This window comes from Homo sapiens, chromosome 4 (assembly GCF_000001405.40).
Source record: "Homo sapiens chromosome 4, GRCh38.p14 Primary Assembly".
Lineage (NCBI taxonomy): Eukaryota > Metazoa > Chordata > Mammalia > Primates > Hominidae > Homo > Homo sapiens.
The window spans coordinates 75,080,830-75,096,180 of NC_000004.12; the positions used below are offsets into that span (position 1 = coordinate 75,080,830).

A 15,351-nucleotide genomic window follows, 5' to 3' on the forward strand; every position below is an offset into this window, starting at 1 on the left:
CTACTGAGTCAGATGAACATTTTAACTAGATCCCCAGGTAACTGGTTTCCACATTAAAGTTGGGAAGCAATGATCTGGGAAATTCAGTGGGACTCATTCAGCACAATTTCTTCTCCTAGGGTGTTTGACAACCTTTTATTTCACCTTGTTGTTTAACGGATTCTCAGCTTAGACTTATGGGGATGAACAAACACACAACACCTGAAACTGAACCAATGTGATCACAGCTGTTTGTTAGTACATATACCCACACCACACGGTGGCATAATATACATAGCACAATTCACTGGGCCATGGAGAGATTGCACTCAGGAATAGAGTCAATAACTGAGGGCTATGGGAGGCAGACATTTTAGTTTCAAGAGGGTGAGCTGCCCCCTATTTCCTGTGGGAAAATATTAGTGACTTTTGAAACTAAATCTACAGGCTATCAGGGACTGAAATACCTATTCAAGGATAAGTAGGAACTGCCCCTGGTCCCTTTGATTAAGAGGGTTATCTGGTTGGAGACTTTATCCACAAGAGCAGAGTGGGGAGAACTTGTGATTGGGATATTCAAGACCCTCCAGGCCCCTGATTTCACCAGATATAAAGGCAGCGCAAAATGTTGGAACTTAATTTTAGGCCTTATACCTCATAGGGAAGTAATCTTATAAAAGTACTTACTAATTCCATTATATAAAACTATATGCATGTAACCACCAAGTATAGTGCCTAGACTGTGGAAAGTATTCAATGAATGTATAAAACTCCTCATCTCCTCTTTTAGTCTTGGCCATATAATAACCACAGCCTACAATGATTTAGATTCAACTTACAGTGCATGAAGACCTACCCCATGCCAGACACAATTAGATACTCCCACATACATAATCTTATTTAATCTAATATTCACCGCAATGCTATGAGTCAGTTGTTCTCACCTCTGCTTTATAGACCAGGAAATTGAAGACAGTTTCACCCAGTCACAATGGACCCTGTTTCATCATGTCTCAACATGGCCTTCATCAATGCACTCTGTGATCTCTTATAATTATATAGTGATAATACAGCAATGCAGTAGAACCTTCCCAGATATACAGATGCCAGTCATAATTTGTGAGAAACAAACAGTAGAAAAAAAATTGAATTTATTTGGCTAACTCAATAATATGAACAGCAGGAAAGATAGACACATATAAAATGTTTTGGACTTGGTTTGCTAAGTTGATACAGATAAAATACGACAGTAACTAGAAGATTACTTGAGAAACTGTTAATTGAATGAGACAGTCTGGATATAGTAACTATCAATTTTTCCAGGCTGTATAAGTTAGATTATCAGGAGCCACATACTTGAACTCTTATCTTTTTAGTCACCAGAAAAAAAAAAATGCCCTTGCTTCCTCATAGTTAGAGGCAGTGTAGCATAGTGGGTAGGAGTGCAGACTGTGGATCCAGACATCCTAAGTTGAAATCCTAGCTCTTCTGCTTTCTGCTGGTAGTATCTGAGGTCCATCACTGAACTTCTCTGTGCTTCATTTTCCACCTGCAAAACACAGATAACAACAGCTTCTATTCAGAGTGGTTGTGAAGATGGAGTGAGTTAATATATATAACACACTTAGAAAATTGCCTGGAACAAAGTAATGCTATGTAAGTAGAAGCTTTTATTATTATGAGCCAGTGTTATGTCTTTGACTTACAGGAAGGATCAATAAAATAAAGTGATCCCATGAGACTTACTCAAATAAATAGAACAAAATAAATAGCCCAGGAACAGACCTTAGTATATAAAAGAATTTAGTTTATGGTAAAGAAGACTATTTCAATCAGTAAAGAAACATTTAAAATGTTAAATATAAATTAATGAACTGGGTTATTCAATAAAGGATGCCGGGAGAATTAGACAGCTTTATCTCCTAATCCCTCATCCTCCACCTGCACTCCATTCTATACTACTACTGATGATAGTTTGAGTAATCATGATAACACCACATACCATGGATTACCAGTGTCCCAGACAAAAAAAAAACAAGATTATTTATCTTTGCATCAAATAAGTGAGACACTCGATCCCAAAATCCCATTTTAATAGCTTATTTCTGAGACCCCTCTTGGTACCAGTTATGTAATCATTAGGGTGCTTGCAGGACATTGATGACACATTCAGACACGGTAATGGACAAAAGTTTAGCTAAATGATTATTGACAAAAATGTGGTGGAAACTAACAATAATGGCAAAAAAACCCAGGGCTAGCAACAAGAGGTCAGATACCATATCTAGGTCTAAAGGGGCATTTATCAGAATGCAGTAAAACCTGGAGCTGTCAGGTGGTCCCCTGACAGGAGCCGTGGCTTTGGGTCGGGGAGCACAGCCACTGCCAATCTGAAGCCAGACATGTAGAAAGACAGGGGAACAAATACTTCACCCCTCTCTTCTCTGTCACCCTCTGAACCTCTGGAAGCCAGAAAACAAGAGAGCCTGGTTGATCTGCTTGTTACAGATCAGCTTCCTGGGGGTTCAGAGAAGAGTAGAGAGGGAAAGAGAGTGAATCTTAAGGAATAAAGAGCAAATAAGAGAATATCCAGCATACTCACTAGGAAGTAAATATGTCATCCCAAATAATTAAGAGGAGGGCATTGTCTTCTTAGTTTGCTGAAGTTTCCCAGTAACCAGAGGATATCAGTCGAGGATGGGGCTAGATCCTTGTCTGTTACGCTGATGGGAAGGGTCTATTTATAGCTGTATCAATGGCTCCAAAATTTAAAGGAGAAAGCCACGTAACTCACATACCCTAGATTTGCTCATATTATTGTTAATCTTCAAGTTACCTTAGAATCTGGAGCCTCCATCCAATTGACTTCAATCTTTGGATTTTAAGACATGTAAATGTGTTTCCATATAACTATAAAGCACTCTGAATTTGATGGATTTCTATCTTTTATTTTCATTTCATAGGACTAAAAAACTCTTACAAATATCAAAGTGACATCTGATTGAATTCTTGATATCTCTCAAGTCTTTGGTTTTGCAATCTAAAGTAATTCTACATCTAACGTTGCTCTATTGTTCATCCTCAATAGCAGATGACCTTGCACCTTTCCATTATATTTCTACACTCTTGGTGCTATTGAAAGCGAGCTACTTTATATTCTCTGTTTTATAGCTTCTGCTTTCTCATATCTTCTGCTTACTAATGGTTTTCTCTGTCTCGTGGGAATTTTGCATGCATTTTCTCGTCATATCCTTTTGCTACTAACCAGCTATATCTTTGTTTACAATCCCAAGACAAGTTATAAAAGAGACTTCTTTGTCCAGTCATTCCCATTTGGACAGAGCTATCATGCAAGGCCACCTCATAGCCTCCTAGCTGGTGACTTGTGAAATTGGTTCCCTGAAGATTGTTTCTCTTGGGATAGGTGCACACCTCTGGCTCATTCAGTGGCAGCCAGAGTAGATAAGTGGAGTCACATGACAGAGCATATGGAAATCTGCACAAGAAGCTAAATAGGACTCTTCGTTCAGAAGGTGTCAGTGGTAATGACGGATACCTGTATTGGTCTTTCCATACGAGAGTTGAATAAAACAGACAAAAAAAAATTTTAATTTTAGAACTATAAGAAAAAATAGGTGGATATTTATGTAATTTCATTGTAGGAAAAGTTTTTAAAGCATAAATACAAAGGGAAAAATCCTAAGGAAATTTATTAATATATACATTAAAAATGAATTAACTTTATATGTTAAAATATTATAAGGTTAAAAAGAAACTTACTAGGTGTAGTAGCATGTGCATATAGTCCTAGCTATTTGGGAGGCTGAGGCAAGAAGATTTCTTGAGCCAAGGAGTTCCAGTCCATGCAAGGCAACATAGTGAGATCCTGTCTCAACTGAAAAAATATATATATATATAATAGCAACTACTTGGATAAATGTATTTGCAACATATTGACAGGTATTTAAATTATTGCTATGTTAAGAAGAACTTGATTTTAAAAACAAGATGAACACCCCGATAAAATAATTGGCACAGATGTTGAATGGAGAATCTGCAAAAAGACGAAGAAGAAGGAAGGAAGGAAAGAAGGAAGGAAGGAAGGAAGGAAGGAAGGGAGGAAGGAAGGAAGGAAGGAAGGAAGGATCAACTTTGCCAATAATCAGAGAGATAAAAACCAATTTAACAATGTTTTGGCAGACATAGCTTATGCTTCTCAGGTTAGGGGTATTACTACGGTAGAAAATGCATTCTCCAGAGTTTTTGGAGGGTCATACAAGAATACATATGAAAGCCTTAAAACTATGCCCACAAAAATACTTTAACTTCTAGGAATTAATCCTAAATCTTAAGTAAACAATTAAGAATAGAGATGCACCATTTACATACATGGCTTTTCATAATAGTATTATGTATTATGGGTATATACCCAGTAATGGGATGGCTGGGTCAAATGGTATTTCTAGTTCTAGATCCTTGAGGAATTGCCACACTGTCTTCCACAATGGTTGAACTACTTTACAGTCCCACCAACAGTGTAAAAGTGTTCCTGTTTCTCCACATCCTCTCCAGCACCTGTTGTTTCCTGACTTTTTAATAATCGCCATTCTAACTGGTGTGAGATGGTATCTCATTGTGGTTTTGATTTGCATTTCTCTGATGGCCAGTGATGATGAGCATTTTTTCATGTGTCTGTTGGCTGCATAAATGTCTTCTTTTGAGAAGTGTCTGTTTATATCCTTCGCCTACTTTGTGATGGGATTTTTTTTTCTTACAAATTTGTTTGAGTTCTTTGTAGATTCAGGATATTAGCCCTTTGTCAGATGAGTAGATTGCAAAAATTTTCTCCCATTCTGTAGGTTGCCTGTTCATTCTGATGGTAGTTTCTTTTGCTGTACAGAAGCTCTTTAGTTTAATTAGATCCTATTTGTCAATTTTGGCTTTTGTTACCATTGCTTTTGGTGTTTTAGACATGAAGTCCTTGCCCATGCCTACATCCTGAATGGTATTGCCTAGGTTTTCTTCTAGGATTTTTATGGTTTTAGGTCTAACATTTAAGTCTTTAATCCATCTTGAATTAATTTTTGTCTAAGGTGTAAGGAAGGGATCCAGTTTCAGCTTTCTACATATGACTAGCCAGTTTTCCCAGCACCATTTATTAAATAGGGAATCGTTTCCCCATTTCTTGTTTTTGTCAGGTTTGTCAAAGATCAGATGGTTGTAGATGTGTGATATTATTTCTGAGGGCTCTGTTCTGTTCCATTGGTCTGTATCTCTGTTTTGGTACCAGCACCATGCTGTTTTGGTTACTGTAGACTTGTAGTATAGTTTGAAGTCAGGTAGTATGATGCCTCCAGTTTTGTTCTTTTGGCTTAAGATTGTCTTGGTGATGTGGGCCCTTTTTGGTTCCATATGAACTTCAAAGTAGTTTTTTCCAATTCTGTGAAGAAAGTCATTGGTAGCTTGATGGGGATGGCATTGAATCTATAAATTACCTTGGGCAGTATGGCCATCTTCATGATATTGATTCTTCCTATCCATGAGCATGGAATGTTCTTCCATTTGTTTGTGTCCTCTTTTATTTCGTTGAGCAGTGGTTCGTAGCTCCCCTTGAAGAGGTCCTTCACATCCTTGTAAGTTGGATCCCTAGGTATTTTATTCTCCTTGAAGCAATTGTGAATGGGAGTTCACTCATGATTTGGCTCTCTGTTTGTCTGTTATTGGTGTGTAAGAATGCTTATATTATGAAGAAAATAAGCAAACAAGAACATTTTTAAAGGAAACAAGGTTATGGTATACAATAGGGGATTAGTTAAATTGTGGATAGTGGAATACCATGCAGCCACTACAATTTATGTAATAAATAAAATTAATGGCATGAAAACATGTTCACAAAATATTGGTGAAAAAAGTAATTATAAAAAATAATATGAAAAATATGATCATCATTTTTATTAAAATGTATATGTTTATATGACATATGAACATAGTCATAAACAACTGCTATTGAGAGGTGACAGTAGAGTAACCTTAGACATAGAATGACCTTAGATTGTAAATCCAAAGCCACAGGAAATATCGAGAATTTAATCAGATATCACTTTAGTATCTTTAAGAATTGTCTGTCCCTACCATACAAGAATGATGTATATCAAAATGTTTACTATGACCTGGATGATGATAACAAGTGTGATTTTCATTTTCTAAGCTTTTAATGCTGTGTTTTTAGGTGTTTTAGAGTTTCTAAATGGAATTATAACTGAAGTTTTGACTGAGTCACCAAGATTAAGTAGAATTACATAAGGTGAGACATGAGGCAAAGATGCAAATTTTCAAAGGGAATATCTAGACATTCTAAGAGTCCATAACTCCTAAACCTCTCACCCACAAGAAGGCTAAAGAACAGTGGGGCTTAGTGATTGGGAAAGAATCTGAAAATGGATTTGTAAGGAAAATTTCTTTGCGGAAATTTTCTGTTCTGTTCTAGTGCTTGGCCCTCACATCAAGCCTATAAAGAGGGCGTTCAATTCAGTTTCCTATGTGCCACTTACAGTTCAGGGGGAGCAATGAACTTGTGTCTGATTCTCACCTGGAAGGCACTGGCAAGCCCCCTCAATAATGGGATCAAAGGTGAGTTTGTTGCACTAGGTGACCCAAAAGTCTGAAATTTGTTGGGACAAAGGATGTATGAGTATTTCTTTTAGACTAGATGTGTCACTTGAGAAAAGCCATGCTGAAGCCATTTTAAACCTAGTCCAACAGAGTATCCTGGAACAGAGTGATCTGTCCAACAGAGTAACCTGGAAGGGTGATGTGACTTACCAGAAATAGTCTGTGCGATAGTTAACTTTATGTGTCAATTTGGCTAGGCTATGGTATCCAGTTGTTTGATCAAACACTAGTCTAGATGTTTCTGTGAGGGTACTTCTTAGATGAGATTAACATTTTAATCACTAGACTTTAAGGAAAGCAGATTATACTCCATAATGGGGGTGGGCCTCATTTAATCAGTGGAAGGCCTTAAAAGCAAAGACTGAGGTTCCCAAAGAAGAAGCAATTCTGTCTCAAGACTGCAACACAGAAAACTGACCCGAGCTTCCAGTCTTCAGATTCAGACTCAAGTCTTATTCAGAGAAGGCTCAACTCCTCTCTGAATTTCCATCCTGCCAGCCTGGTCTACAGATTTTGGACTTGCCAGCCTCCAGTCATATGACTCAATTCCTTAAAATAACTTTCTCTCTCTCTCTCTCTTTCTCTCTCTCACTCTCGCTCTTGCTGTCATTCTTGTTTCTGTTTCTCTGAAGAACCCTGGCCAATACAGTCAGTGTCAAGTGAGCTTCTGGAACACAAAGCCTGAGAGAGGAGCTGCCAGGAGGAGGAAATTCATTGCCTGCCTCTCAGGACACACATTCAGGAGTTCTCAGAAAGACTTCTGAAGAGGAAGAGAGAGGAAGAGTCCATAGTAAACACCTGCCCAGGTCAAAGAATGCACAGCCATCTAACAAAAAGGCCCATACAGTTAGAGTTTTTCTATCCCTGTTGCTTCTCCTTCTTATATCACTACACCCCTCATCCCCACCACCACACCAATCCTGGTAAAGACAGAAAGCCACAATTAGCAAGATAAAAACAAGGGGATGGAAGCCTAACTTGAGAAAGGAAAGAGAAGGGTGATACCTCTCCTTCCTTGCCTTCCTGCCTGAAGAAAACCACCAGCCAAGGGAGTGGAAATACTTTAACCTTAAATCAAGGTCAGAGTTTGGATCATTCCTTGGGACTGGATGTCTCAATTTCTGAATTGAAACTGTGATTGTGACTATAACATTATTTTTTATTGTTATTATGTAAAAGTAAACCAGGGCGGGGAAACACTTTCTCCACTGAATATATTTTATACAGACAGTGGGAGATTAAAAAAATAAATAAATGTGCTTTTCTAATACATCCCAAGAGTCCTACCTGTTCAATGTGCCACTTATACAAATATTACTTTTTATGATTGAAAAAAAAGCCAGTATTATATTTTCAGTATTAATTTAATGAATATTTTCATATCACATAAATTCTAGTTTAATATATTATGTTACACTAATAATGTCTTTTATATGAGAATTTCTGTGATAAATTCTTCCAAAAATAAATTTAGTCTCCCCCAAAATTAGACTTTCCAGAAATATATATTTTTAAATTTACAATAAAAATCATAATACCTTTACTCCAACAAATATTTATTGCCAACAAACTACATGCTATCCATATGCTAATAATAACAAACTGGATATTGCTTCTGCCTTGTGAGGCTCACTTGCTGGTAAAGGAAACAGTCGTTACATAAATAAACACAGAATTACAAATTTTAGTAAGCACTTAAGGAAAAGTATTATGTGAGAATAAATACAGAATAATAATTTAGATCAATACATTTGGAAAGTGTCCCTCTGAGGAAGTGACATTTGAGCCTAGATCTGGATGATTTGTAGACGTTAATTAGGTAGAGAGAATCAGAACCTAGGAGAAAAGCTTCCAGATAGACAGAAGAGAGTGCCCCAAGGTCATGATGTGGAAATCCCTGGGTATACACAAGAAAGCATGCTGGATTGTAAACAGTGGAAGGGAGTGTTATGGTAAAGGAGGTTGGAGAATCAGTCAAATCATGCACGCCTTTGTAGGACGCATTGTAAGGTTGGATTTCATCATAAGTTCCCGGAGAAGCCATCAAAGGATTTTGAGAAAAGAAAAGACATCCAGGCATATGTTGTTTTATTGCACTTCACTTTACTGTGTTTCTCAAATATTGCATTTTTTTTTATAAATTGAAGGTTTATGGCAACCCTACATTGAGCAAGTCTATTGGTGCCATTTGTCCAACAACATATGATCAGTTTGTGCCTGTGTCACATTTTGGTAATTCTTGCAATATTTCCAGCTTTTTTCATGATTATTATATCTGCTATAGTGGTCTGTGATCAGTGATCTTTGATGTTACTATCACAATTGTTTTAGGATGTCATGAACCATACCCTTATAAGATAACAAACTTAATCAATAAATATTGTGTGTGTTTTGACTGCTCCACTATCAGCCTTTCCCACATTTTTCTCTCTATTCTCTGGTCTACTTAATCCCTGAGACATAACAATATTGAAATCAGGCCAACCAATAATCCTACAATGATCTCTTAGCATTCAAGTGAAAGAAGAGTCTCATATCTCTCATTTTAAGTCAAACTCTAGAAGTGATTAAGCTTAGTGAAGAAGGCATGTTCAAACCAGAGATAAGCCAAAAGCTAGGCCTCTTGCACCACTTAGCCAAGTTGTGAGTGCAAAGGAAAAGTTCTTGAGGAAATTAAAAGTGCTACTTCAATGGACGTGTAAATGATAAGAAAGCAAAACAGCCTTATTCTGGATATGGAGAAAGTTTTAGTGGTCTAGAGAGAAGATCAAACCAGACAAAACATTCCCTTAGAACTAAGCCTAATCCAGAGCAAGGCTCTAACTCTTTTCAATTCTGTGAAGGCTGAGAGAGGAGAGGAAGCTACAGAAGAAAAGTTGGAAGCTATCAGAAGTTGGTTCATGAGGTTAAAAGAAAGAAGTCATCTCCATAAGTGAAGTACAAGTAAAGCAGCAAGGTGCTGATGTAGAAGCTACAACAAAGGTGCTGATGTAGAACCTACAACAAAAGGTGCTGATGTAGAACCAACAACAGAAGGTGCTGATGTAGAAGCTACAATAAATTATCCACAAGATCTAGCTAAGATCATTGATGAATGTGGCTACACTAAACAACAGATCTTGCAATGTAAATAAAACAGACTGCTACTGGGAGAAGAGGCCATCTAGGGCTTTCATAAAGAGGACAAGTCAATATCTGCCTTCAAAGTTTCAAAGGACAGGCTGACTCTCTTATTAGGGATTAATTCAGCTTGTGTCTTTACATTGAAGCCAATGCTCACTTACCATTTTGAAAATTCTAAGGCCCTTAAGAATGATGCTCTTAATAAATCTACCCTGTCTGTGCTCTTCAAATGGAACAACAAAGCCTAGATGGCAGCACATCTGCCTATAGCATGGTTTATTGAACATTATGACCACTCTTGAGACCTACTGCTTAGAAAAAAAAAATTCTTTTTTGAAATATCACTGCTCATCGACAATTCACCTGATCACTCAAGAGCTCTGACAGAGATGTACAAGGAGGTTATTGTTGATTGTCTGCTTGCTAACACAACATCCATTCTGTAGCTTATGGATCAAGGGGTAATTTCTAATTTCAAGTCTTCTTGTTTACAAAATATACTTTATAATGCCATAGCTGCAATAGAGAGTGATTTGTCTGATGGACTCGGACAATGTAAATTGAAAACCTTCAGAAAAAAGTTCACCATCTAGATGTCATCCAGAACATTTGTGATTCATGGGAAAAGGTCAAAATATCAACGTTAATAAGGGCTTGAAAGAAATTAATTCCAACTCTCATCAATGAGTTGGAGAGGTTCAAGACTTCAGTAGATGAAGTAACTATAGATATGGGGGAAATAGTAAGAAAACCAGAATAAGAAGTGGAGCCTGAAGGTGGGATTGAATTGCTCCAATCTCATGATCAAACTTTAACAGATGAGGAATTGCTTCTGACAGATGAGCAAAGCAAGTGGTTTTTTGAGATGAAATATACCCCTGGTGAAGATATTGTAGACATTGTTGGAATGACAACAAAGGATTTAGAATATATTTATAACTTTATAAGTAATAAGATTTATAAGTTTATACTTCATTGATAAATCAGAAACAGACTGTAAGAAGATTGACCCCAATTTGAAAAAATTTCTACTGTAAGTAAAATACTGTTCAACAAAATACTAACAATATCACAAAGCTACAGAGAAAGCTTTCATGAAAGGAAGAGTCAATAAATGCAGCAAACTTCGTTGTTATCTTATTTTAAGAAATTGCTATACCCAGTCCAACTTTCATAAGTCACCACCATGATCAGTCAGCAGCCATCAACACTGAGGTAAGATCTTCCACCAGCAAAAAGGTTATGACTTGCTGAAGGCTCAAAAGATTGTTAGCAGTTTTTAGCAAAAAAAAGTTTTTGTTTGTTTGTTTGTTTGTTTTGTTTTGTTTTGATTTTGAGACGGAGTCTGCTCTGTTGCCCAGGCTGGAGTGCAGTGCAGTGGTGTGATCTCGGCTCACTACAAGCTCTGCCTCCCAGGTTCACGCCATTCTGCTGCCTCGGCCTCGCAAGTAGTAGCTGGGACTACAGGTGCCCACCATCACGCCCGGCTAATTTTTTTTTTTTTTTTTTTTTTTTTTTTTTTTTTTAGTAGAGACAGGGTTTCACCGTGTTAGCCAGGATGGTCTCGATCTCCTGACCTCGTGATCCTCCTGCCTCAGCCTCCCAAAATGCTGGGATTACAGGTGTGAGCCACCGCACCCAGCCAAAAAAAGGTTTTTAACTAAGGCATGTATGTACATTTTTTAAGACATTATTCTACTGCACACTTAATAGACTATAGGATTGTGCAAACATAATTTTTATATGCACTGGGAAACCAAAAATTCCTGTGAATCACTTTATTGCTTTATTGTAGTGGGCTGGAACTGAACTCATAATATCTCCAAAGTATACCTGTATTTTGATTTAGTCTCACTTTTTTAATTTTAATTTTTAATTTTTTGGGGTACATAGTAGATATATATATATATGGGGTACATGAGATACTTTAATACATGCATGTAATGTGAAATAAGCACATTATGAAGAATGAGGTATCCATCCCCTCAAGCATTTATCCAATGAGTTGCAAACAATCCAATTACACTCTATGTTATTTTAAAATGTACAGTTAATATAGTCACTCTGTTGTGCTATCAAATAGTATATCTTATTCATTCTTTCTATTTATTATGCATTAACCATCCTTACCTCCCTTCAAAACCCCCTACTACCCTTCTTAGCCTTTGGTAACCATCCTTCTACTCTCTATGTCCATGATTTCAATTATTTTGATTTTTAGATCCCACAAATAAGTGAGAACATATGATGTTTGTCTTTCTGTGCCTGACTTATTTCACTTAACATAATGATCTCCAGTTCCATCCATGTTGTTGCAAATGACAGGATCTCATTCCTTTTATAGCGGAATAACACTCCATTGTGTATATGCCACATTTTCTTTATCCATTCTTCTGTTGATGGGCACTTAGGTTGCTTTCAAATCTTAGCCATTGTGAACAGTGCTGCAACAAACATGGGAGTGCAGATATCTCTTCATTATACTTATTTCCTTTTTATGGGGTATATACCCAGCAGTTAGATTGCTGGATCATATGGTAACTGTATTATTAGTTTTTTGAGGAACCTCCAAACTGTTCTCCATAGTGGTTGCACTTATTTACATGCTCACAAACAGCGTACAAGGGTTCCCTTTTCTCCACATACCCTCCAGCATTTGTTATTGCCCATCTTTTGGTGAGAAGCCTTTTTAACTAGGGCGAGATGATATCTTACTGTAGTTTTGATTTGCATTTCTTGGATGATCAATAATTTTGAGCACCTTTTCATATGCCTGTTTGCCATTTGTATATCTTCTTTTGAGAATTGTCTACTCAAATCTTTAGCCCATTTTTTTTTATCAGATCATTGGATTTTTTTGCCTGTAGAGTTGTTTGAGCTCCTTATATATTCTAGTTATTAATCCCTTGTCAGCTGGATAGTTTGCAAACATATTCCCCCATCCTGTTAGTTGTCTCTTCACTTAATTTATTGTATCCTTTGCTGTGCAGAAGCTTTTTAACTTGATGTGATCCCATTGGTTACTTTTTGCATTCATTGCCTGTGTTTGTATGGTATTGCTCAAGAAATTTTTGCCCAGACCAATGTCCTGGAGATTTTCTCAAATGTTTTCTCACAGTAGCTTCATGATTTGAGATCTTATATGTAAGCCTTTAACCCATTTTGATTTGACTTTTGTATATGGCAAGAGATAGGGGTCTAGTTTCATTCTTCTGCATATGTATATTCAGTTTTCCCCACACCATTTATTAAAGAGACTGTCTTTTTCCCAGTGTATGTTCTTGGCAACTTTGTGGAAAATGAGTTCACTGTAGATGTGTGGATTTTTTTGAGTTTTCTGTTCTGTTCCATTGCTCTATGTGTCTGTTTTTATGCCAGTACCATGCTGTTTTGGTTACTACAACTCTGTGGTATAATTTGAAGTCAGGTAATGGTGATTTTTTCACTTTTGTTCTTTTTGCTTAGGATAGCTTTGGCTATTCTGGGTCTTTTGTGGTTTCATATAAATTTTAGAATTATTTTTTCTATTTCTGTGAAGAATGTTATTGGTATTTTGATAGAGATTGCATTGAGTCTATAGTTTGCTATGGGTAGTATGGATATTTTAACAATATGAACTCTTCCTACCCATGAAAATTGAATATTTTCCATTTTTTGGTGTCCTCTTTAATTATTTTCACCACTGTTTTATAGTTTTTATTATAGAGTTCTTTTATTTCTTTGGTTATTTTCCAGATATTTAATTTCATATGTGGCTATTATAAATGGGATTATTTTTTGGTTTCTTTTTCACATTGTTCACTGTTGGCATAAAAATGCTACTTATTTTTGTGTGTTGATTTTGTATCCTGCAACTATATTGAATTTATCAGGTCTAATAGTTTTCTTGTAGCATTTTGAGGGTTTTCCAAATGTAAAATCATATCATCTGGAAACAAGGATAATTTGACTTCTTCCTTTCCCATTTGGGATGTCCTTTGTATCTTTCCCTTGTCTGATTGCTCTAGCTAGGACTTTGAGTAATATGTTGAATAGCAGTGGTGACAGTGAGCATCCTTGTCATGTTCCAGATCTTAGAGGAAAGAGTTTTAGTTTTTCTCTGTTCAGTATGATATGAGCTGTGGATCTGTTGTATGTGGCTTTTAATATATTGAGCTACGTTCCTTCTAATCCCAGTTTGCTTGGGGAGGGGGTTAACATTAAGGGATGTTGATGTTTATCTAATGCTTTTCAGCATCAATTTAAATGATCATATGGTTTTTATCCTTTATTCTGTTAATATAATGTATCACAATGATTGATTTGCGTATGTCTAACCATCCTTGCATCTCAGGGATAAATCCACTTGGTCATGATGAATGATCTTTCTAATGTATTGTCAAATTAGGTTTGCTAGTATTTTTTCTGTTGAGGATTTTTTTTTATTATATTTTAAGTTCTAGGATACATGTGCAAAACATGCAGTTTCGTTACATAGGTATACATGTGCCATGGTGGTTTGCCGCACCCATCAACCTGTCACCCACATTAGGTATTTCTCCTAATTTTATCCCTCCCCTAGCCTGCCACCCCCCACCCGCCCCAGTGTGTGATGTTCCCCTCCCTATGTCCATGTGTTCTCATTATTCAACTCCCACCAATGAGTGAGAACATGTGGTGTTTGTTTTTCTCTTCTTGTGATAGTTTGCTGAGAATGATGGTTTACAGCTTCATCCATGTGGGACATGAACTAATCTTTTTTATGGCTGCATAGTATTCCATGGTGTATATGTACCACATTTTCTTTATCCAGTCTATCATTGATGGGCATTTGGGTTGCTTCCAAGTCTTTGCTATTGTGAATAGTGCCTCAATAAACATACATGTGCATGTGTCTTTATAGTAGAATGATTTATAATCCTTTGGGTATATACCCAATAATGGGATTGCTGGGTCAAATGGTAATTCTAGTTCTAGATCCCTGAGGAATTGCCACACTGTCTTCCACAATGGTTGAACTAATTTACACTCTCACCAACAGTATAAAAGCATTCCTATTTCATCACATCCTCTCCAGCATCTGTTGTTTCCTGACGTTTTAATGATCACCATTCTAACTGGCGTGAGATGGCATCTCATTGTGGTTTTGATTTGCATTTCTCTAATGACCAATGATGATGAGCATTTTTTCATATGTCTGTTGGCTGCATAAATGTCTTCTTTTGAGAAGTGTCTGTTCATACCCTTGCCCACTTTTTGATGGGGTTGTTTGTTTTTTTCTTGTAAATTTGTTTAAGTTCCTTGTAGATTCTGGATATTAGCCCTTTGTCAGATGGATAGATTGCAAAAATATTCTCCCATTCTCTAGGTTGCCTGTTTACTCTGATGACAGTTTCTTTTGTTGTGCAGAAGCTCTTTAGTTTAATTAGATCCCATTTGTCAATTCTGGCTTTTGTTGCCATTGCTTTTGGTGTTTTAGAGATGAAGTCTTTGCCCATGCCTATGTCCTGAATGTTATTGCCCAGGATTTCTTCTAGGATTTTTATGGTCTTAGGTCTTACATTTAAGTCTTTGATCCATCTTAAGTTGATTTTTTTA

General features: G+C 36.8%; 1 long non-coding RNA gene across 1 annotated transcript; it reads right to left on the minus strand.

The window, feature by feature from the left end:
- Positions 1-1,095: 1,095 nt before the first annotated feature.
- Positions 1,096-3,879, minus strand: LINC02562 (long intergenic non-protein coding RNA 2562). The gene is made up of 2 exons (NR_149051.1): positions 3,760-3,879; positions 1,096-1,528 (listed from the first exon to the last, which is right to left on the minus strand). It is a non-coding gene; the product is annotated as a long intergenic non-protein coding RNA 2562 (long non-coding RNA).
- Positions 3,880-15,351: the final 11,472 nt, after the last annotated feature.